At 40.3% G+C, this 24839-nt stretch overlaps 1 protein-coding gene across 175 annotated transcripts in view, besides 3 other annotated features; it reads left to right on the top strand.

Annotated features, from left to right (window-relative positions):
- PTK2 (protein tyrosine kinase 2) overlaps window positions 1-24839 on the top strand; it is a 344180-nt gene that overhangs the window by 24475 nt on the left and 294866 nt on the right. The window lies entirely within an intron of this gene.
- Window positions 781-1305: an enhancer, noted in NCBI's record as "NANOG hESC enhancer chr8:141986399-141986923 (GRCh37/hg19 assembly coordinates)". NCBI's record gives its function as "activates a minimal SCP1, AML or CMV promoter by ChIP-STARR-seq in primed H9 embryonic stem cells {active_cell/tissue: H9 hESC(primed)}" and the evidence as "EXISTENCE:reporter gene assay evidence [ECO:0000049][PMID:30033119]".
- Window positions 4201-4495: an enhancer, noted in NCBI's record as "tiled region #10587; HepG2 Activating DNase matched - State 5:Enh". NCBI's record gives its function as "activates a minimal TATA promoter and a strong SV40 promoter by Sharpr-MPRA in HepG2 cells {active_cell/tissue: HepG2}" and the evidence as "EXISTENCE:reporter gene assay evidence [ECO:0000049][PMID:27701403]".
- Window positions 22369-22448: an enhancer, noted in NCBI's record as "active region_28038". NCBI's record gives its function as "activates an Ori minimal core promoter by ATAC-STARR-seq in GM12878 lymphoblastoid cells {active_cell/tissue: GM12878}" and the evidence as "EXISTENCE:reporter gene assay evidence [ECO:0000049][PMID:35858748]".

Below are 24839 nucleotides of genomic sequence, written 5' to 3'. Positions count from 1 at the left end.
TGTCGCCCAGGCTGGAGGGGAGTGGTGCTGTCTCGTCTCACTGCAACCTCCGCCTCCTGGGTGCAAGCAGTTCTCCTGCCTCAGCCTCCTGAGTAGCTGGGACTACAGGTGTGCACCACCATGCCCAGCTATTTTTTGTATTTTTAGTAGAGATGGGGTTTCACCGTGTTGGCCAGGATGGTCTCGATCTCCTGACCTCGTGATCTGCCCACTTTGGCCTCCCAAAGTGCTGGGATTACAGACGTGAGCTACCGCGCCCATGCTGCACACTGCAGTCTTGACCTCCCAGGTTCAAGCGATCCTCCTGCTTCAGCCTTCTGAGTTTCTGGGACTAGCAGGTGTACACATTACCACACCTGGCTAATTTTTAAATTTTCTTTAGAGATAGGGTCCCACTATGTTGCCAAACTTGGTCTCTAGCTCCTGGGCTTAAGCAGTCTTCCCGCCTTGGCCTCCCAAAGTGCTGGATTTACAGGCAGGAGCCACCACACCTGGCCCATAAAGCATTTATTGTTCTATTTAATAAAGAAGTTTAATATTTAGACATATTTTGTAAATTCTACTGATTCCTTTGATGATTCATGATTTATTTTAAAGTGTTTGATAAATTACAAACAAATGAGCTTTTTTTCATTGTATCTTGTGACATTTCTAGAATTGGATTGTAGTCAGAAAATGTGTTCTGTATGTTACCAATTCTTTGAAATTAATGTTGTCTTAAATAGACCTATATTGTAGTAGAATTTGGCTAAAATCTTGGTCTCAACTCAGAAACTTTTAGGTACCTAGCCACTTAAACTCCAGCTATGCCTAAGTTATACCTTAGTTATGAAAAAAAGATTAGACTAACATTATTAGGCTTTTTAAAAAGTTAATAGAGTTTCTATTTTCTGCCTCTGGAAACACTTGTGTTGTTTTCTGGCTGAAGTTGAGGTGTTAATGTACATTATCAGCTTTTGGATTCTGTTCTACCCAAACTGAAGCTTAAAGACAAGTGACTGCCTCAACTGCCAGTTTGTTTTAGCTTAGCTGACAGGCAAGGAGTTCATGCTGTGACTGCAGCTGCTTTCCTTTCAGTGGCATTTGTTAATTAAGCTGTTTAATTTTGTGTTGCTTTCCCAAGGACTGATTCTTAAGGAAAAGAGAAAATTTTTAGCTTGTGGTTATTCTGGGACCTTTTAGCCTAGTGTTTATTTTGGGTGTCCATTTCATTTTTTTCTCCCCAGAAAGTAGCATTAACTTGAAAATTATCAGTTAAATAGTGGCTCAGAAATTAAATTTTATCTGTCTCCTGAATCTCAGGCATTAGTAATTGAAGTGTCTAGGTATTGTGATTTTTGTAGAGAGGTATTGTGTAAGTGTCTAGATATTGTAGTTGTGTAGTCTGTTTAAGAGAAAATGCATTTTATCTAAGAAACAAGACCCAACTTCAAATATTGGCTCTGCCTTTAGTCATGTGACTTTTGGCAAGTTAGTTTCTGTGCTTCTCAAGTCCTTATTTATAAAGTGTAGTTTTTATGGTCTTAGCCTTTGAGGTTATATGTGCAGTTACTGTGTAGAGTGGTATACAAATGTAAGGTGCTAATGTTGTTAATAGTATCTTTAACAGACGTAAGTAGTGTTTTACTACTAAAGGCACAGGTCCTTTCCATTTAATGTGATTTCACCAGTTCTTGAGCTGGTTCATTCAGTTAATTCATTTGTTCGCCATTTAAAAAATACTGTTTTGTGCCTGGTACGGTATTAAGCCCTGAAGGTATAGACTTGAGGGGGAGTGAGACTGTTATAGTTCCCTGGCATGCAGCATGATGTGTGCAGTTGTCTCTTAGCGTGCTCAGGCAATCTGGAGGGCAAGTCCCTTGTGATGCCCAACCTCAGGGGTCGGCAGACTTCCCCTCTTAAAGGCCGGAGAGTAGAAACTTCAGCCTTCGGGGGTCGCATATACACATACAGCCTATCGCATTTCCTCTAATTTTTTCTTCCTTTCTTCCCCCTCCCCCCTCTCCTCAACGCTTTAATAATGTAAAAATCATTCTTAGTCCAGGAACCATGTAAAAACTGGCTGTGGACTAGATGTGGTGACCTCTTTGTAAAGTATTTTTCAGCGGAAGATGGGAAGTGGATTCCACTCATGTGCAAAGGCATGGAGGTGTGAGAGGCTGGGGTTTTGTGGAACTGAATATTTTTATCACATGTGGAGAAATAGGTTGGGTCGGGTAGAGAAGGATATGCAGTCGATACTGGGCAGGATCAAAGCAGTTTGCACTTGATTCTGATATAAATTTTTTACATCCTAGGGCAGCAAGAACAGATTTAGATGGTAGGAGGATGACTGGACTAGAGGCACAAGATCAGTAAGGAAGGTAGTAATCCACATTAGAAGGGGAAAAGTCACCCAACCTTTGTCATTAAGGAAATGGCTCACCTGCTGTTATTTAGTAAAGTGAGAGGGATAAAGTTCAGAGGTCGAATTTAGTAACATACAGTCTATTTAATAATAGACTGTATGTTCTTTTAATTATGTTGTACATATAAATGAAGGACTTAAGGGCACAACTGAGGAAATGGAGAGTAGGGATTGATGTGAAGCCTGTTTCTGAGTTCATCTACAGGCGTGACTAAGTAAGTGAAATGGCAAGGCTGAGAGAGAAGGAATCCAGCGTAATTCCAGGATGGCTTCCAGATTTTTTCTTTGGTGATGAGTTCATGAAGATCTTTTTGCTCTTAATTTTTTTTTTCCTGGAATATCTTAGTGATTGCTTTGATGAGGGAACATTGTCTCTTAGGTCCATGAACCCCTGAAATTCTAAGCAGAATTGTGTGTGTATGTGAGCTGTTTTTCCCTGGGGAGAGAATTCTAGAGCTTTCATCACATTATCAGAAAGGAGTCCAACCAAAAGGAGGAATCACTTTTTGTTAGATTGTACACATCTGGTGTACTCTAAAGGTTTGTGTTGGCAAGGGAAACATCATCCCAATCACAGGATTTTTACTTTAAATGTAATGCATCTCAAACTGCCAAGTAAAATGCAAACACATGCAACTGTTTTCTAAGTTGAACTGTATCAACCAGCAATTGGAATGTTTTTCCCTAGTTTCTCCTCCTTTCCGAAAGACAGAATAAGACACATTTTTGGTACATAAAAAGCGAGCTGGAGACTGACGGGCATGGAATGCTTCAACATGCTATGAACATTAGAGAAAGCTAAAGTTTGTAGAGTATTAACGTATCTTAGTATTCATGTGGCTATGAGAGATGGTGTCACTTTTAGGTAGGATACACCAGTACCATAAATGAGTGTAGTTTCCTCAGTTGGATTAGAAATGTGTAAATAGTGAGTTGTAAGACAATCCCTAAATCGTGCTGTCATGATGAGCCCTTAGTTGAGCAAAGCAGGAGAAGCAGGGTGGCCGCCGAGCAGTTGTTGAGATATGAGCATCAGGCAGATTCGTATTGTGTTCTGGAGTCTGCACTGGATTGGTTCATACTTGATGTCAGCATTATTACATGTAATTTAGGGATTACAGACTACAGATAATAGCAGTCCCTGCAGAGATTTGATGAACTTGGTAAGCTGCTCCATATGGAGCAGAGAGAACTTAAGAGAGTGAAAATGGGGCAATCTGTAAGAAAGTTTCTTCTTTCCTGTTGAGAAAAATTGTGACTTCTATTAAAGGCAAAGTGTGATGGGGCAAAGATATAAGAAATGATGGAATCTAGCAGTGGCATAGAAGTCAAAAGTGAAAACCTAGACTGGTTAAGATATCACTCTCAGAATTTCACGCTGGGGCTAATTGTAATTCCAAGGTAGGAAAAAAGCTTTGAATCTACTTTGCCTAGGTCATGGCAAAGTTTAGGTGGCAAGTTTTGTTTTCTGTTTGGAAAAAATAGTATTGGATCCTAAGGAATTGCCTTGAGAAATCAGATAGCAGAAATAACTTAGTTTAAGTGCATGTTGTCAACATGTGGGTTAATTTTAAACAGTACATGGTTGATTATGTGGTTGGCAAAGAGCTGATGTCTTTGATTTACATCTATCCTATGAGTTTGCCTTTTTGACCATTTTATTGGAAAGCAAACTTTTCTGCTGCTTTTTTTTTTTACGTGTGTGTGTATGTGTGCCCCTTTTACTCTTTGCTTTACGTAATCTAGAATTTTAGGGGTATATCTAAATTTAGGATCCAAAGCTTTTACTTTAGAGATGAGTAAGTAAATAACCCAGAAAAGTCAAATGACCATTTGATGGAGAATCATAGGTGAGCTTACTCTCCAGCCCCATCCAAAGGTCAAGCCTGGTGTTTGCTGTGGGTCAGGGTCCCCAGGTAAACAAAGACAGCTTTATCGGACGAGCTTCCAAGAGCTTAAAGATTACCTCCCAGGATCTGGGCAAAGGGCCAAACTTTTCTTTGAGCAAGGCGGTTAATCCTTTACTGCATAAGCCCTAGCAAAGCAAATTATTATTTCTGTCATTACTAGGGAGTTCAAGAAATTATTATTGCTCCTAGATATAAGATATGTTGTAACCACATACAGTAACATTTACCACGAAACTGAAAAATTAGAATTTCTACACACAGGTGAGGATGTCTCCAGAAGTGTGTCATACTTGACATCTGTTCTAACATTTCTATCAGGGATTTGAATAAAGAACAGGAGTCACACTGGGAGACAGTTCATTTTTAGAATTTTAGATTTTTAAAATATTTTGACAGGTGGTAATGAAGTGGTAAAATCCATAGGGTGAAATTTGTCAGCAATAAATGTAAAATGGCAGACTTAGTTTAAAAGGAAAAGCAACTGAGAAAGCTAAAGCTGGACAAAACGTGTCTTAACTCTACCAGTGTGCGGAAGACCTGGGAATCTAGTTGACTAAAACAAGGATCGGTGAACTTTTTTGTAAAGGGGCAGATAGTGAATATTTTAGGTTTTGCAGATGAATAGGCAAAACAAGAATATTATGTAGGTATTTAAATAATGAGAGAAAACAAATTTCCACAAATTTTCATCGACTGAATTCAAAATATAAAAACAGTAATTGAGGCTGGGCACAGTGGCTCGTGCCTGTAATCCCAGCACTTTGGGAGGCGGAGGGAGGCAGATCACTTGAGGTCAGGAGTTAAAGACCAGCCTGGCCAACATGGTGAAACCCCGTTTCTGCTAAAAATACAGAAACTTGCCAGGCGTGGTGGCGTGCGCCTGTAGTTGCAGCTACTCGGGAGGCCGAGGCAGGTGAATCACTTGAACCTGGGAGGTGGAGGTTGCAGTGAGCCGAGATCATGCCACTGTACTCCAGCCTGGGTGACAGAATGAGACTCCATCTAAAAAAAATTAACAATTATTTATTAATTAAAATAATAAAAACAATTGAGCATAATTAAAAAAATACAGGTCTAATGAGAGGAATGGATTTTTTTTTAGGGGAGGAGGTGGATAACATTTGGCTAAATTAGAGTTTGAACTTAGTGTTTGCTATTATCAACATCAATTACAAGTGTTCATCTCTTAATGCTAATCTGCAAGGAGATTTTACATATTTTATCTTTGAAAAATGTCTTAATCCTGACAGGATACATCGAAATACTGATAGCAGTTCAGGAGCATATTCATTGCTTAGAAGGCATTTATAGAATTCTATTAGATTCTCCTTGATAATTGCCTTCTAGCATGTTATTGCATTGCAGATTAATCACTTCCTATTGGTGGTTAGATGGAAGCACCTCAATTGCACAGTTAAATGGATTTTGAAATATGTAAATTTTCTTTGTACTTGCATCGGAGTTTGAAAAATGCTACTGGAATGTAGTTTGAACCCAGAAAATATATCCACTGCAAATTTGCACAGAATTGAAATCTTGCTTTTTGTTTTAACTTTCACATACGAGAAGTATATAAAGAAGCTTAATGCAACTTGTGATTCAAATGTTAGCTGTCATTGAAATGACTTTACTACAGTATAAATTCCTCATATAAGTACTGTTTTCCTTTGTAAACTTAAATTGAATCCATTAAGAAACATCAAGTCTGTAGAAAAAATTGATTGCAGAGCTATTCAGTGTTTGGTAACAGTGTTAACTGAAGGAGGCTCTTTTAGAAAAATTTGAGTCTTGACTCTAAGGTCATAAAGTTAGAATAAAACCTACCACTGTCCATTTAACTGCTGTGTGGTAGGCCAAGTCAAGATACTCAGTTTCTATTTCTGACAAATTCAAGGAACTGACAATGGTTAAGTCTACAAGAGCTAATGAAGTTCACTGTGGATGCTACTGGTCCAATAACACCTGACAGATTTAAATACTTTCTACATAGTACTTGCTGATGAATAACCATAATACTTTCATAATTTTTGTAAATTTGTGCAGCAAATCATTTGTCTGCTCCCCATATATTTTTACTATCACCAGTTATTATCATGCATCTTAGTAGATTCCACTTCAGATTGTACTAAATTAGTGTTTTCTCAGCTTTGAAAATATTATTTGTAGTTCCACACAGACTATTCTTAGAGACTAATTTTTTAGTTACTTCAAGGTTGGCATTGACTCCTTGAATAAACAGTTGAGCAACGTCAACAACCAAGGAAAATCATTCAAAAATATTTGCCTTTTTTTGACTGACATTGATGTTGTTATCAGTATCCTCAACTCTTTGAGCAACTGTTCTTATTGAAAAGCTTATAGTCTTAAGCAAGTTTTTTGTTTTTTGGTTTTTTTTTTTGACATATTTCTTTGTCTGTTGTAGTCAGACATGTTGTAGTCAGACAACTTAACATGGTTAAGTTATCCACATAAGATGGAGAGCCATTTAGGGTTTTGAGCAGAGAAGTGATGACATCTGATTGAGATTTGACTTCATCTGCAATCAGATTGAGATTTGACTTCATCTGCAATGTTGAGGATAGGCACCAGAGCAGCAAGGTTAGAAGCAGGGGACCTGTCAGGTGGCTGTTGAGTTCATTTGAGTGAATGGTGATGATGGCACAAGTCGTGGTGATGGTGGAGGATGTGGAGCAAAGTGGACAGTTTCTTGGCAGATTTGCCAGGAAGAGCTGACATTATTTGCTGACAAGGTTGAACATGGAGTGTGAGGAATAAAAGAGACAAGGATGACATCCATTGTTTTTTGGCCTGGACAACTGGAAGGAGAGAGTTGCCAAGAACTGACATAGAGAAGAGTGTGTAAAGAAGGTTTGGAGGAGAAAGATCAATATCTGAGCTTTGAAATGTCTCTTGGACATTTTTATTCGCTTAACTGATGTTTCACTTCTCTGAGGATCTAGAAGCTGGTCCCCAGCATAGTGTATCCATGAGGAATTGTTCAGGAAAAGAGAAGCTGCTCTAGACACTTTTTTAAATACACAGGATTATAGTCCTTCACTACTGTTGGAAGGGTTGGAGAATTGAAGGTCCAGGAAGCAGCTGTTCACAGTGTGTACTTCCCAGGAGCTCATCTGAGATGGGCAGAGGTCTCAGAATTGAAGCCTCTGCTGCTGTGGTTGAAGTGGATGGTTCTTGGAGTTTCTCCGAAGCTGCTGGGAATTCCTAGTAGGAGCTGCTCTATCTAGGTCTTAGTTTCAGAAGTAGGTCAGTTATTTTTTTCTCCCAGCACATCAGCCTACAGCTGCCTCCAGAGGGTAGTGTGCTCTTTTATCTTACCAGTCTTGCACGAGTTGCCCTTATTAGTTGACTCTAACCCTGAGTTGTAGCAGGAAGGGGTTTGTAGGAAATGTAGTTCTGGCTTCCCTATGTCACACAGGTGAATATAGAAGGTGGTAATGATGCAGAATTGACAACAGTCTAGCACAACAACCAGGCAACTGGATTTTCAAGTTGGGATTTTGGAAGAAATCTGAGCTACAGTTAGCATAAAGGTAGCTTTTAAAGTGAGCTTGCCTAGGAGGTGAGCATAAATAAGAGAAAGGACAGAGTCTTGGGGAACTCTAGAATTGACAAGTTTGCAAGAAGAGGAAGAACAGCTGTAGAGACTGGAAAGAAACCACCTGTGAGGTAAGAAGAAAACCAGGAGAAGATGGTGTCCTGGAAAGCAAGAGAAGGGAAGCAGGAATAATTACCTGTCAGTTGCAGCTGACAGAGGAAGTAATATCTAAGTATTGACCATTGGATTTAGCAGTATTGAGGTCATTGGTAATCTTGGATAGAGAAGTTCTGGTGGAGAGGTGAGATAAAGGGAAGATAATTAGTGATAGCAAGTATATTGTGTGTGTGCTTGTTTATAGGATTATTTGTATAATAGCTGTTTTAAAGTCTTTGTGAGATAATTCTGACCTTTGTGTCATCTCAGTATTGGCTTGTCTTGATTTTCTTTTTCTATGGGAATTGAGGTTTTCCTGGTTCCTCCTGTGCAGAGTAAGTTTGGATTGTATCCCCGACTTTTTGGATGTTATGTTAGGAGGAGACTCTGGGTCTTGTTTAAATATGCTGATGTGGTGGTGGTTTGAATTCTATTCCTCCCTCATCCACCTGCTACTGTTTACTTTTCAGAGTCCTCAAATAGCTTCTGCAGTTACTCTGTTCAGGCTTTCTAGTTGCTTTCAAGAGGAGTGACAGGGTGCAATGTGCTTATTTTTCCTTATCTAAACCTGAAGCTGTTCACTTCGCAAACTGCTTCTGTTACTCAGGTAATGGTCACCAGTTTCAGCTGGGCCATGATGCTCAAATGATTTTGCGTCCCTGATCAGTTACCTCTTCCAGCCCCCATAGGAGTTGCTGCTCGAATTATTTCTTGAATTTGGCTTATAGATAGATCCTTTTTTTGGTGTCTGTTCCCATAGTTTCTTTTGGTGTTTTTCTCAGGTAGACAACATGGCCCTTACCATATATCATGATAGCCATTAGTTTTCTCAAGTATGATAGAAGAGTTGTCTTGTGTTGAATGTATTGACTATGCCTATTGATTAGTTTAAGTAGAATAATGTCTCTTTGACATTTTAAGCCTTTCACACAATATAATTTTGTGGGGATATTTTTTACAATGCAGAATAGAACAGCGGTGAAGAGCACAAGCTGTAGACAGATTTTTGCTTTGCATTCATATCTGATCCTTGCTCCCTGTATGATGTTGACCAAGCTCCTTAAACTCTCTAATCTGTTTTTTCTCTTCTGTTTAGTAGAGATTATTGTGAATTGTAACTCTTTTGTAAATGTGATATATAGTTCTTAGTGCTTGGCTAGTCATATAAATAATTAAAAACGATTTTTTTTTTGGGCAGGATCAACTCGATGTTCATAAGTACAGTTCCTAACAGTGTAGTTATTTCTACTGTGGGAATTTAAGGGCTAATCTTCATCATTCCCTGATTTATATTGATCTAAAAACTGGAAAACAGTTTATATTCGTCATTTGCTATGCATACAAAATGGGCAAGTTATTACTGTTAATATTGGTTTTTAAAATTCAATAATTTTACAGCCTCTTTTAGGGTATTGGTTTAGTCAGTAGCTTAGTACCAGTTAGATGGCAAACCGTGTACTAAGCATCAGTGCAGAGATAGTGAATGAGACACAGTATTCCCACCTTTGAGCAGTGCCAGTCTAGTATTAGAATATTTTTGGCTAAAAAATTATTTTGAAGCATAAAGAAGCTTTTGTTTGCTCTGGTGATTTTCATAACATATTCACATTCTTAATGTATTTTTGGTTTTTCAGAAAGTTACTTCTGGCCTGTGTTCTTTCAGAATATAGGTTGCAGCTTGTGTTAAGTGCAGGAACTATTGATAGACTGAGTTTAGAAGAAGGGAAAATTGGTATAAAGTGGTTGTGTATTTTGAACATTGGGGAGCTTCATAGATGAGTTAAATTGTTAGGATATGGATTAAGAAATGTTGGGTTAGGCCAGGCGCGGTGGCTCACGTCTGTAATCCCAGCACTTTGGGAGGCCGAGGCGGGCAGATCACGAGGTCAGGAGTTGGAGACCAGCCTGGCCAACATGGTGAAACCCTGTCTCTACTAAAAATACAAAATTAGCTGGGCGTGGTGGCAGGCCTCTGTAATCCTAGCCACTCGGGAGGCTGAGGCAGGAGAATTGCTTGAACCTGGGAGGTGGAGGTTGCAGTGAGCCGAGATTGCACCGCTGCACTCCAGCCTGCATGACAGAGAGAGACTCCGTCTCAAAAAAAAAAAAAAAAAGAAAGAAAGAAAGAAAGAAATACTGGGTTTGAGCCTTATTTAGCACTTAGCATCAAACAGACATTTTCTTTTCCAGGGGCTCATCCTACTTGTTTAATTCCAGCCAGATAACTTATAATTTGTCAATATGTCATATTGAACATTACTCAGCTGTGGTAAGAACTTTCTGTCATGCTTGCTTTGGAAAGCCCAGATCATGTTTATTGTTTTAACAATATTACGTGGTTAATTTGGGAAGCAAGAATAGCAGCATGATTTTGAGTGCTGATAAACCAGTATTTGAATTCCTGGTCTCTCCCTTCTTTGCTGTGTGACCCTGGAAAACTTAGTAACTTCTTTAAGTCTGTTTCCTTGTATGTAAAGTGGAAACAATTATAGTAACCAGTTAGGGCTGTGAGGAGTAATGAGCTAATATAGACACTCCACACACATGAAGCTGCTATTGTTATGATCAGGATTGTTATTTGGAGGTAGTGAGAAAAGAATGATAGAAGGCTGGCCAAGTTGGATTGTGCATTGAAATGAGAACATTGAAAGCAAGGTGGTGAAAGGAAATATTCTACGTGATAATGAAGCACAGATTTAGTGTGGTATGGAAAATTTTAGTTTGTAGGTTAAAAGGGAAAAGGGTTCAGAGCAGCCCAAGCATCTATTTATACCTATCTTAAAATACACTCATTCATGCACAAAGGGTAGGGAATATCCATCTTAAAATATCTTCAGAGTTGAGAATGTGGAGATAAACATGTATATCATTGTATAATAAGCCAACTTTAATTTTTCTTTATCCATCTGGAGAAAAAGAATTTAAGACTTTTAATTTTATAATTTGAGAAATAGCTACTTTATACTCTGAGCTAGTTCAGATTTTTATACTTATATTTTATCAGTTTCATAGTTACAAATAGATTTCTGTTCTTAGTAAAGATGGATTAAATCATGGAATAAGAAGAGTTAGGATTCAACATGCATTAAATTGCCTGTTGCTAAAACAGGATTCAACATGCATTAAGTTGCCTGTTGCTAAAACAGTAAGTGGGCAGTAAGCCTAGTCTTGATAGAATGGAGGCTTGTAACTTGCTTAAATTCTCCTTTAACTACATAGAATAAAACATAAAGCAAAAAGCGGTTATCAGAATGTGGCTGAGGTACTCAATGCCAGTGTATCCATTCATTTATTCATTAAGTCATTCATGCATCATATAAATGTTTATCGATAATCATGCGCTCTAGATGCTGTTTTAGATAATGGTGCATACTGTTGGGTATACAATGGTGAACAAAAAGTAGATGTGGGGAGTAACTGGGATGGTTTGTCTTCATATTTAATGAAGAGAAGAAAGCCAGTTCCAAGAGTGTCAGAATAATTCAACAAGTGATGTTTTTAGGTTTACACTCCTAATAGAAAGGCAGGAAAGGCAGAGTGCATGGAAAGAAGAAATGCTTCCAACTGCAACCAACTGGAGCTTTTCTGACCTTTACTTTGGTTTTAATTAATAGTGCTTAAGTTGTTTACCTGGTGTTTAGGTCCTGAGGCTGCAGAGCTGAAAGAGGTTGTCACTGTCCCTAGAATCTTTCTCTTTTTGAGATGGAGTCTTGCTCTGTCACCCAGGCTGGAGTGCAGTGGCGCGTTCTTGGCTCACTGCAACCCCTTCCTCCTGGATTCGAGTGATTCTCCTGTCTCAGCCTCCCAAGTAGCTGGGATTCCAGGTGTGTGCCACCATGCCTGGCTAATTTTTGTATTTTTAGTAGAGACGGGGTTTTGCCATGTTGGCCAGGCTGGTCTCGAACTCCTGATCTCAGGTGATCCACCTGCCCTAGCCTCCCAAAGTGCTGGAATTACAGGCGTGAGCCACCACGCCTGGCCTAGAATATTGTTGTTTACTTGGAGGAGGAAGAGACTGACAGAAAAGGCAAAATTTTAATGGCCTCTCTAGTAAGCTTCACCACAAGATTCCTTTGGGGTAGGGTCATGTCTCTGGTACCGTGCATGTCCAATACCTTGTGCAGTGCATGGCTTGTGTCTGTCACTGAATAACCTATATTGAGTGAAGAAATGCTGTGGAGTGCAGGAGAGGGGCATCTAACCTGGGGTGAGACAGAACAGCCCCTACCACATGTACATCAAGTTAAGCAATGGGAAGAAGATCTAGGTAGAAGGAGCAGCAGATGGCATAGAGATGTGAGAGAAAGTACAAGTTGCTCTGTAAACTGACAATAGTTTAGTTTTGCCAGAGTGTAGGATTCATAAGAGACAGTGCTGAGAGACTTTAGACTAGAGAGTTAGACTTGGCTTGACAAGTAAGGGTCATAATAAAGAGTTTGGATTTTGTTTTCTTTAAAAGTAATAGTGTTTTTTTCTAAACAATAGAAATCAGGTTTCCTAATGCCCAGGCCGACACTCTTCATATTACATGATGCATGCAATGTCAAAAAAGGATTATTAGGTCTTAGTTTCCATATCCGTTCATGATAGCAGGACCATCAAAATTCTGTAAAGCCATTGGTGAATGTTCTGTCTTTTGGAGAGAAAGAGGATATAGGATAAATACCTTTTTTCTTGGGAGCAAAGAATATGTAGTTGAAACTCATTAAGGGCAAGCAAGGTCTGAGTGTCTTTGAATTTTTGTTCCTGGAATGATGCCAGGAATGTATAGCAGATCTCTGTACATGAATAAATGAAAAAACCTTTCTTTGCATTTGCATATACTGTTGCTAGCATTATACTTGGTTCTGAAAAGTAATAGTTAAATGAGAAATGGTCTCAGTGGCACATGCCTGTGATCCTAGCACTTTGGGAGGCGGAGAGAGGCCAAGACGGGTGGATCTCTTGAGTCCAGGAGTTTGAGACCAGCCTGGGTAATATAGTGAGACTCCCCTCTCTACCAAAAAAAAAAAAAAAAAAAAAAAAAAATTACCTGGGGCTGGGGGTGGTGCCCACCTGTGGTCCCAACTACTTGGGAGACCGATGTAGGAGAATCGCATGAGCCTGGGAGGTTGAGACTGCAGTGAGCTTGATCGCATTGCCACAATCCAGCCTGGATGACAGAGTGAGACCCTATCTCCAGAAAAAAAAAAAGAAATTAGCTGGCGCGTGATGGTGTGGCTGAGGGAGGCTCAGGTGGGAGGATTGCTTGAGCTCAGGTGTCTGAGACTACAGTGAGCTAGGCTCTCCTCACTGCACTCCAGCCTGGAAGATAGAGCAAGACCCTGTCTCTTAAAAAACAGGCAAATTATTGATTATAGTTCAGTGGGCTAAATCCTGTGGTAGAAACATTCATGCATAGGGTGGTGCATCCACATCAGTCTTAGGTGGGAGGAGGGTCATGGAAGGCAGATTTTTGGTTGCACTTGAACTGAACTTTGAAGGATGATTAGGAGTAAGCTGGGTGGGGGAAGGGAAGAACCTACCAGGCAGAAGGACTGGCATAAGTAAAGGCTTGTTTGTAAGAAGTAGCATGGCACATTAAGGGAAGTTGAGGTTGTTCAGTATGACCCTACCGTAGAAAAGGAATGAGCAAGTGATGGAAAATGAGATAGGAAGCTAGTGGTTTGGTTCTGTTCTTTCTCTCCTTCTCCCTCTTAACCCCCTAACCCCCCTCAAGTTCTCCTCTTCCCTGTTCCCCCTGGAATATTCTATTTGGAATGGGATGATGAGAAATATTTTGAGGAGGAAGAGGTAAAGGCTTAGAAGGTATGCTTTGATGCCCCAGATAAATGTCAGCAGAATAGGGAACACAGTTGGAAAATTGCTTTTCAAAGCAAAGAATTTCTAATATCCCTCAAAGTAATGAGAGCTGTTGAAGACTTTTGAGCGGTTGACATAATTTGTTTTAGGAAAGGTCACTCAGGTAGGTACTGGTGAAGAAGTTGAATTGAAGGGGGCACTGTAATAAAGAAAGTAGATCAGTTAGGAGGTTTTGTTTTGTTTTTGTTTTTGCAACACTGTAACTTGAATTAAATGGATGGCCATAGAATTGGAGAGCAGGGATCTTAGGGGTGAGAGATAAGTGAGGTGAAAGAGTTAGATTGGGCAACTGGTCATGGTTAAGGGCAGGATTTTTGGGGTCAGACACCTGAATTTGATTCTTAGCTTGGCTTTTTATTATTATGTGACTTTGGAAAATTAGATAACCTTCTAAATCTGAACTTCCGGAAATGTGTAACAGGAATAATTCCTTGAGAGGTTATTTTGAGGACTGAGTACTCCTAAGACTCTTAGCACAGAGTATAGCTCGTGGAAAGAATTAGTTAAGAGGAGATGCTATTATAAGCTGTTCATTGTTATAGGGTATATATTTATAGGAGGAAGAACATATATAGGCTGTATTAGAGGGAGAGGCAAGGCCTTAAGGTTCGTGCGTGTTGGTATCAGTGGTCTGTTACAGGGCTGAGGAAACTATAGCACGTGGGCCAAATCTGCTTTTGTAAATATGTATTTATTGGGATGCATTCAAATTGTTTATATATTGTCTATGGCTGCTTTTGCACTGCAAAGGGAATGTACTTAACACAAAGAATAGGGTCCCCAGGAGAGCACTTAAAGGGCAAGCAGAGGAAGCCTAGGTAGGTTGGGTTGGGGGGGGGGACCTACAAGGGCCAGGAAGTTTGTAGGATTGCCATGAGTGAGGAGTGTCACTAATGCTGGGAAAGGAGGGTGGACATTCTGTGGTTTTTTTTTTTGAGGGAGTCTCGCTCTGTCACCCAGGCTGGGGTGCAGTGGCGTGATCTCAGCTCACTGCAAGCTCCGCCTCCCCGATTCACGCCATTCTCTGCCTCAGCCTCCCGAGTAGCTGGGATTAGCCACCACGCCCGGCTAATTTTTTGTATTTTTAGTAGGTTTCACTGTGTTAGCCAGGATGGTCTCGATCTCCTCACCTCATGATCTACACGCCTCGGCCTCCCACAGTGCTGGGATTACAGGTGTGATGACTGTAGAGTATGCTCGAGCTGTGTGTCCTATACAGGAGGCCCCTCAGGCCCCTCACAGAGTATGTGTGTTTGTAGTAGGCATAGTATACTGATAGAGCTTTTGGCATTGCTGGATGCTTGTACACAGTTTTCTTTAGCTCTTTACTATGGGACTGCTGTCTTCATTGCCACACAAAACAGCAAGAATTTGTTGAAATGAGTAAAAATAACCACATAATTTTTTTCCCTCCCTCCCTCCCTTCCTCCCTCCCTTCCTCCCTCCCTTCTTCCCTTCCTCCCTTCCTTTCTTCCTTCCTTTTTTTTTTTTTTTAAATTTTGAGACAGAGTCTTGCTCTGTTGCCCAGGCAGTGGTGTGATCTCAGCTCACTACAACCTCCACCTCCCGGATTCAAGCGATTCCCCTGTCTCAGCCTCCTGAGTAGCTCCTGGCTAATTTTTGTATTTTTTTTAGTAGAGACGGGGTTTTGCCATGTTGGCCAGGCTGGTCTTGAACTCCTGGCCTCATGTGATCCACCTGTCTCTGCCTGGGATTACAGGCATGAGCCACCACACCAGGCCCAGATATTTTTGAGTTTAAAGATACTAACTCAATAAATTGCAAAAGAGGAGGCAGTTTTCCTAAAACACCACCACTCCAGTTGGGTTGTATGGTTGAAGGGATAAACCTCTAAATGAAATCTTTAAAAGAATTAAACCTATAAAAGAAACCTTTGCTTTCTTTTATCTAAAATTTCCTTACCAGGCTTAAATCATTGCCTTTTAAAAAATGTGTACTATAAGTACTTTTTGTTAGGTGAGCTCTCTAGTATTAACTTGGTGAGACTGATTTGTAGTACCAAATCTTTTTTTTTTTTTCTTTTTTCTTTTTGAGATGGAGTCTCGCTGTGTCGCTCAGGCTGGAGACCAGTGGCGCGACCTTGGCTCACTGCAACCTCCACCTCCCAGGTTCACGCCATTCTCCTGCCTCAGCCTCCCAAGTAGCTGGGACTACAGGTGCCCGCCACCACGCCCGGCTAATTTTTTTGTATTTTTAGTAGAGACAGGGTTTCACTGTGTTAGCCAGGACGGTCTCGATCTCCTGACCTTGTGATCCACTCTCCTTGGCCTCCAAAAGTGCTGGGATTACAGGTGTGAGCCACCACGCTCGGCCTGTAGTACCAAATCTTAAAGGAAACTTTGCATTTGGAATTTGAAGTTTATCTGGAGATTTGGTATGGTTGCTGAGTTATTTTTAGGATTAGATACATTTCTTGGAAATAGCAAATGTAATAACAAATTGTGTGGCTATATAGTTGGCTGTTTGATACCATCCATAAGCTTAGCAAAGTGTGGTGTAGTTATTTGCCTGTCTTCGAGGGAAATAAATGTAAAAGGCATGTATAACTTGCTCACAGTGCCCAAACTTGCTCTAGTGATAGAACTAGGACTGGAATTCAGGTTTCTTGAATTTGATTTCAGATGTCTTTTCTATATATCTGCTGCTTTTCTGACTTTAAAGTACATTTCCAAGGAAAAGTGCTCTTTATCTATAAAGTACTTTTTTATTTTTGAGACAGAGTTTCGCTCTTGTTGCCTAGGCTGGATTGCAGTGGTGTGATCTTGGCTCACTGCAACCTCCGCCTCCCAGGTTCAAGTGATTCTCCTGCCTCAGCCTCCCGAGTGGCTGGGATTACAGGCATGCGCCACCACGCCTGGCTAATTTTGTGTTTTTAGTAGTGACAGAGTTTTACCATGTTGGTCGGGTTGGTCTTAACTCCTGACCTCAGGTGATCTGCCCGCCTTGGCCTCCGAAAGTGCTGGGATTACAAGAGTGAGCCACCGCGCCCAGCCTATATGATACGTTAAATACAAGATTTGTGAAGTGTTGATTCTGTATGTGGCAATGAACAATTTTGGTAGTTCACCTGATAAGTCATTCAGTATGAGATCATGCTTTCTTTACAGCCTGGTGTAAAACCATTGATGGATTCATCCTAGTTTATCTTGCCTTGATTACTTATTCTTTTTTTAAGGGTTAAAATGGGCCAGCCGCGGTGGCTCATACCTGTAATCCCAACACTGGGAGGCCGAGGTGGGCGTATCATTTGAGGTCAGGAATTTGAGACCAGCCTGGCCAACATGGTGAAACCCCGTCTCTACTAAAAATACAAAAATTAGCTGGATGTGGTGGTGCATGCCTGTAATCATGTAGCGCATGCCAGCTACTTGGGAGGCTGAGCAGGAGAATTGCTTGAACCTGGGAGGTGGAGGTTGCAGTGAGCCGAGATCGTGCCATTGCGCTCCAGCCTGGGTGACAGAGTGAGACTCCGTCTCAAAAAAAAAAAAAAAAAAAAAAAAAAAAAGTTTAAAATTGCATTTACAATGTGTTTTTTTCCTTCTAATACAATATATGTTCATTGTAGAACATTTAAAAAAATACTGTATACAAAAAATAATTGCTGGTGAATTGTATCTCTCAGGGATAACCACAGGTAGGTTTTTTTTGTTGTTGTTGGATTTTTTTTTTTTTCTTTTTGAGACAGAGTCTCACTGTTTGCCCAGTGTGGAGTGCAGTGGTGTGACCAGGCTCATTGCAGCCTTGACCTCACAGGCTCAAGCAGATCCTCCCACCTCAGCCTTTCAAGTAGCGAGGACCAAAGGCATGTGCCACCATGCCCAGCTAATTTATTTTTTGTTGGAAAAGGAGGGTGGTGGGGGGCAGGCAAGGGGGAGTCTCTCTGTGTTGCCCAGGCTGGTCTTGAACTCCTGGGCTCAGGCTGTCCTCCAACCTTGGCCTCCCAAAGTGCTAGAATTACAGGCATGAGCTGCTATACGTGGGCCACAGGTAAGATTGTAAAAGATCCATTTAGGCCTTCTTTATCCCTTGGTGATACTCATATATCTTTTTGAAAATCAAAAACGTAGATATAAGTATATAGATTATATATAAAAGTCCACCATTTCTGAGGGGAACGGATCACTCTTACACTACTTTTTTTTTTTTTTTTTTTTGAGACAGAGTCTTGCTGTGTCGCCCAGGCTGGAGTGCAGTGTCGTGATCTCCGCTCACTGCAAGCTCCGCCTCCTGGGTTCACGCCATTCTCTTACCTCAGCCTCCCAAGTGGCTGGGACTACAGGCACCCGCCACCATGCGTGGCTAATTTTTTTTTTTTTTTGTATTTTTAGTAGAGACGGGGTTTCACTGTGTTAGCCAGGATGGTCTCAATCTCCTGACCTCATGATCCGCCCTCCTTGGCCTCCCAAAGTGCTGGGATTACAGGCGTGAGCCACTGCGCCCGGCCTACTTTTGTTTAAAAAATATATGTGTGTGTAACCACATTCAGGTAAAAAATTATTGCCAGCCTTTTACTCCCTTTTCCATCATCTTGACTTCTGTGACAGTCATTTCCATTAAAAAAAAAATTTTACTCCCTATTATGTGTCTTTAAACATTAGGATTAGCTTTTGTATAGTTTTAAACTTTATAGGAATAGAATTATACTGTATATATTCTTTTGTGACAATTGATCTGTGACAAATTGACATTGTAGAGCAACGGGGAAGAGACACTTTTTCAATAAATGGTGCTGGGTCATTTGAGTATCCATATAGGGAAAAATAATAATTTGCTTCACACAATAAAAAATAATTTCAAGTGGATTTATAGATATGAAAAGATTAAATAAAACTGGTATAACGGTGTTTAATAGAAATATATTGTGAGCCACATGTGATTTTAAATTTTTCTAGAAGCTAAATTTAGGAAAAACAGATAAATTAATATTTTGTATTTAACCCAGTAATGCTCAAATACATTTTAATGTGCAAGTAATTTAAACATTATTAGTATATTTTATTTTGGGGGGCAAGGATACTATAGTTTTAGCAATTCAGTGTGTATTTTACACTTACGTCTCAGTGTGGCCTAGTTACATTTCAAGTGCTCCTTAGCACGTGACTAGTGGGTACTGTGTTGGAGAGCATAGTTTTGGAGGATTATGATGGATAACATCTTATTATCTCTGGACACAAAAAGCAACCATAAAAGAAAAATCGATGAGTTATGCTACATTAAAGTTAGGACATCATATTCCTCAAAAGACATTATTAGGCTTGGCATGGTGGCTTCTGTAATCCCAGCACTTTGGGAGGCCACAGCAGGAGGATTGCTTGAGTCTAGGAGTTCAAGACCAGCCTGGGTAACATAGTGGGACCCTGTCTCTACAAAAAATTAAAAAAAAGAAATTAGCTGGGTATGGTGGCACAGACCTGTTAGTCCCAGCTACTCAGGAGGCTGAGACAGGAGGATTGCTTGAGCCCAGTAGGTTGGTGCTGCAGTGAGGCATGATCACACCACTGTACTCTGGCCTGGGTGACAGAGTGAGACACTATCTCAAAAACAAAAAATTAGTAGGAGAGTGAAAGGCAAATTACAGAGTGGGAGAAGATATTGGTAAATCATAGTTCTAACAGTTTGCATAAAAAATATGTAACATGTCAAGAAAAAGGTAGTTAACTCATTAGCAGGATGGACAAGAGACTTTGCTATTTCATGAGAGATAAATGAAATAAAATCTATCACTGTGGATTTGTCTTTTTCTTTTTGTAATTCTGTTTTTGATTTTTATATATGAGTTGCTTAACGACAGGAAATGCATTAGGTGATTTCATTGTACAAATGTCATAGAGTGTACTCAGCAAATTTAGATGGTAGCCTACTGCATGCCTGGGCTATATAGTATAGCCTATTGCTCCTAGACTGCAAAATTGTACAGCATGTTACTGTACAGAATATTGTAGGCAGTTGTAACACAGTGGTAAGTGTGTGTGTATCTAAACATAGAAAAGGTACAATAAGAATATGATATAAAAGATTAAAAAATATACCTGTATAGGGCACTTACATGCATGAATGGAATGGAGCTTGCAGGACTGAACGCTGCTCTGGGTGAGTCAGTGAGTGTGTGGTGAGTGAATGTGAAGGCCTAAATTATCACTGTACGCTACTGTAGATTTTATAAATACTGTACACTTAGGCTGTACACTAAGTTTATAAAAAATATTTTTCTTCAGTAATAACCGTAGCTTACTATAACTTTATAAACTTTTAAATGTTTTTAAACTTATGACTATTTTGTAATAACACTTAGCTTACAACAGAGGCACATTGTACAGCAGTACAATGTGAGCCCCTTCCCGGGCTCAAGTGATCCTCCCACCTCAGCTTCCCAAGTAGCTGAGACTACATGCGTGTGCCACCATGCCCAGCTAATTTTTTCTGTAGAGATAGGGTTTCACCATGTTGCCCAGGCTGGTCTCAAACTTCTAGACTCAAGCAATCCATCTGCCTCGGCCTCCCAAAGTGCCAAGATGATAGAAGCGAGGCACTGCACCTAGCCAATATTTTCTTTATATCCATATTCTATGAGCTTTTCTGTATTTTTTTAAAATTTTAATTTATCATTTCATTTGTTTGTTTGTTTGTTTTTGTGATGGAGTTTTGCTCTTGTTGCCCAGGCTGGAGTGCAATGGCATCATCTCGGCTCACTGCAACCTCTGCCTCCTGGGTTCAAGTGATTCTCCTGCCTCAGCCTCTCAAGTAGCTGGGACTACAGGCATGTGTCACCATGCCCGGCTAATTTTATATTTTTAGTAGAGACAGGGTTTCTCCATGTTGGTCAGGCTGGCCTTGAACTTCTGACCTCAGGTGATCCACCCACAGCCTCCCAAAGTGCTGGGATTACAGGTGTGAGCCACGGTGCCCAGCCTAATTTAAGGTTTTTAAACTTTTTTGTTAAAATGAAGACACAAATACACACATTAGGGTAGACCCACACAAGGTCAGGATCATCAATATCAATATCTTCCACCTTTGTATCTTGTCCCACTGGAAAGTCTTTAGGGGCAATAACACACATGGAGCTGTTATCGCCTAGGTTAACAGTGCCTTCTGGAATACCTCCCAAAGGACCTGCCTGAGCTGTTTTACAGTTGTCCTTTTTAAATAAGTAGAAGGCGTGTACTCTACAATGATAATTAAAAGTGCACAATAAATAAGCCAGTAACATAATTGTTTATCAAGTGTTAGGTACTGTACATAATCGTATGTGCTAGACTTTTATACGACTGGCAGCACAGTAGGTCTGTTTTCCCCAGCTTCACTAAAACGCGTGAGTAATGTATTATTTCCCCCAAGTGGCTTTTTTATTCCTTCCCCGCTTCCCCACCCTCCCGTGTTGTTCTCTGTCTTTTGTGTTACAGAATTTTCTCACATGTCTGGTATTAATTTCCTTGTGGTGAATAAAAAATTCTTTGGAAGCTTTAGCAAGTGGGTTCAGCCTTTTGACTCTGACTTTTGCATCAGGATATTCTGGATGGCCCATTTGTTGGGAAATCCCCAGCATTGGTATCTTTAGATCTTTCTTCTTAGACGTATCAGGTTCCTGCAGGGTAAAGACCTGACTATCTGAAGTTTGAGAGGAAAGTGCATAGGGCGTAGTGGAGGAGCTGAAATGTGTGTTCAGTGACTAGATCGACCTCTGTTTTGTACAGTTGGGCAGGGTGACTTCTGTCTAAGGATGCTCTCCTTTTCCAGAGAGCCCCCAGTCTTCTGTCATGGTTGGGGAGTCCCACGAAGGCATGGTGTTGAGGCTTTAGCTGCATCGTAGATAGTCTTCACCTAACCTCCATCATCCTTTATGCCTCCACCTTCTTTACCCCTTGTTCTGTCTGCATTTAGTGCTGCCAGTTCTGAACCTTCTTCCGACATGGCTGTGGAAATGGAATTGGTTCTTAGTGTTTTTGGCTGCTGGCTTGGTCTGGCTGCATTGGGCCTGCTGAGTCATTTGCTATGCTTCCGATCTTTTATCGTTCATTTCCCCCAAGTTTTTCTGTTTTCCTGTTTGTTCGGTTTCTATCTTCAGTGTTAGAGGCTTTTCTTATAGCTTCAAAAATTCAGTTACTTTTTCTTTCATTTCTCCCTGTCCTGTGGGTTTGGTTTTTAAATTTATCTTTTTAATATGTCTGTATTAGTTTGTTCTCACACTGCTAATAAAGACATACTTGGGACTGGGTAATTTATAAAGGAAAGAGGTTCAATTGACTTCACAGTCCCACATGGCTGGGGAGACCTTACAATCATGGCAGAAAGCGAAGGGGAAGCAAGACATATCTTACACACGGCAGCAGGCAAGAGAGAGTGTGTGCAGGGGAACTCCCCTATATAAAACCCTCAGATCTTGTGAGACTTATTTGCTATCATGAGAAGAACACGGGAAAGACCTGCCCCCATGATTCAGTTACCTCCCAGCAGGTCCCTCCCACAACACATGGGAATTATGGGAGCTACAATTCAAGATTTGAGTGGGGACACAGCCAAACCATATCTGTGTCTTTTGTATAATTTTAGTGGAAGTGAAATAGATGTGTATATTCTGTTTGCCATCTTCCTCTGAATTTGTTAGCTAACTTTGTGTCAGATTAATTATGCCTGTTGATGTTTTAATGGTTCTTAGTTATTTCATGTATATTTCCTTCAACTAAAATACGGGTTTGAAGACAGGCCTTTTCCAAATTTGTTATTCTTCATTCAAGGTCCAGTACAGTAAGTATGGTAAGCAGTGAAGAAGCTAACTGTAAGGTGGACAGTACAATAAAGCCTTGAAAAAAACTAGTGAAATAATGGTGGTTATATATATATATAGTCTTTCAGGTTCTCTCTGACTGCAATGGAAAGAGGAAAGAGAAATTAGAAGTATTTTTTTAAATTGTCATTTGATTTCTTCAGAGTTATTGTGGGCTTCTGAACTGTGAGTATAATTCTCTTGCTATACTTGTGTCTTGAGATTTTTGGTTTTGTTTTTTCTTTCACCTGTCTTAGTGTCTCTTTGATGTACAATAGAAATAAACAAAAGGTAGTTGATTTTGCAGAGTGGGTGAGGGAAGAAATATAAATTGTTTAGTGCCTATTATGTGTAGATACTTTATATATTTTTTTCTGAGACAGGTAGTATAATAATGGTTAATAACGTGCTTAGAATACTGTCTGGTACATTATAAACACTCTGAGTTACAATTACTAATTGAATCCTCACAATAACTTTATAAGCAAGGTTTACTGTTCTTCCCTATTTCACATTTGCATAAACCAAAATACAGAGAGGTTAAAGGATACTAAGTTACGGCCGGACACAGTGGCTCATGCTTGTAATCCCAGCACTTTGGGAGGCCGAGACAGGAGGATTGCTTGAGTTCAGGAGTTTGAGACCAAGTGGCTGGGTGCGGTGGCTCATGCCTGTAATCACAGCACTTTGTGGGGTTGAGGCAGGCAGATCACTTGAGGTCAGGAGTTCGAGACCAGCCTGGCCAACATGGCAAAACCCCATCTCTGCTAAACAGACAAAAATTAGCCAGACGTGATGTTGCATCCAGCTGTTGTAATCCCAGCTACTCGGGAGGCTGAGGCAGGAGAATTCCTTGAACCTCCACAGGAGGAGGTGGAGGTTACAGTGAGCCGAGATCGTGCCACTGCACTCCAGCCTGGGTGACAGAGCAAGACCCTGTTTCAAAAAAAAAAAAAAATTCAGACCAGCCTGGGTAACAACAAGACCTTGTCTCTGAAAATAAAACAAAAAACAAAAATTGTCAGGTGTGGTAATGCATGCCTGGATCACGGGAATTTGAGGCTGCAGTGAGCCAGGATCGTTCCACTGTACTCCAGCCTGAGTGACAGAGCAAGAGTCCATCTCAAAAAAAAGATTACTAAATTAGTAGATGGCAAAGCTGGGATTCAGATTCATTCTGGCTTCACAGTGTTGTGCTCTTGACTGGTAGAGCAGCTCCCTCCCCCCAGTCTGTGGTTTTGCTTTTTGTAGGTTCAGTTACCCAATGTTAGCTGCAGTCCAGAAATACTAAATAGAAGATTCCAGAAGTAAACAATTTATAAGTTTTAAATTGTGCGGCATTCTGAGTAGCCTGATGAAATCTCATGCACCCTGATCTGTCCCGCCCTATCCCACCTGGGATGTGAATTGTCCCTTTGTCCAGCATATCCACCACACTGTGTATGCTGCCCGCCTGTTAGTCACTTAGTAGCCATCTGAGTTAGGTCAGCTGTCAAGGAATGACAGTGCTTGTGTTCAAGTAACCCTTAGTTTATTTCATCATGGCCCCCAAACGGAGGGGTAGTAGTGATGCTGGCATATTGTTATAATTGTTCTATTTTATTATGTTATTCTTGTTAATGTCTTACAGTCCCTAATTTATAAATTAAACCTTATTGTAGGTATGTATGTATAGGAAAAACATAGTATATATAGCGCCAAGTACTGTCCCTAGTTTCAGGCATCTACTGGGGGGGACTAGGAGCATATCCCCTGCAGATAAGTGGGAATAGCTGTATCTTATTCTCATGGGTTCTAGATTCAGATATTGGTTTAGCTAGGTATTATATTTCCTAACTCCTTAATTTTAATCAAATTATTTAACCTATTGAAAGTCAATTTTTTTTAATCTGACAAAGGGGATTATTATAGAATCTCCCTTATGGGGTTATTGCGAAGATGCTGTGAGATATGCGTAAGGTGTTCACTCAAAATTGTTAGCAATGATTATTTGGTGCCATTTTTCTCATTTTAATTAGCAGAAAACGGAGCCCTAGAGAGATTATATTACTTGTAATTTGTCAGTTTGTAACTTGTAGATCTTGGTGCATGTTTCACAGTTTAGAAATCGTACAATTGAGGGTAATCCTACTTTGTCTTGTTTCCAAAGATTGCTCTTTCTTC

This window comes from Homo sapiens, chromosome 8 (assembly GCF_000001405.40).
Source record: "Homo sapiens chromosome 8, GRCh38.p14 Primary Assembly".
Classification (NCBI taxonomy): Eukaryota; Metazoa; Chordata; class Mammalia; order Primates; family Hominidae; genus Homo; species Homo sapiens.
This window is presented reverse-complemented; position numbering and strand designations above follow the sequence as displayed.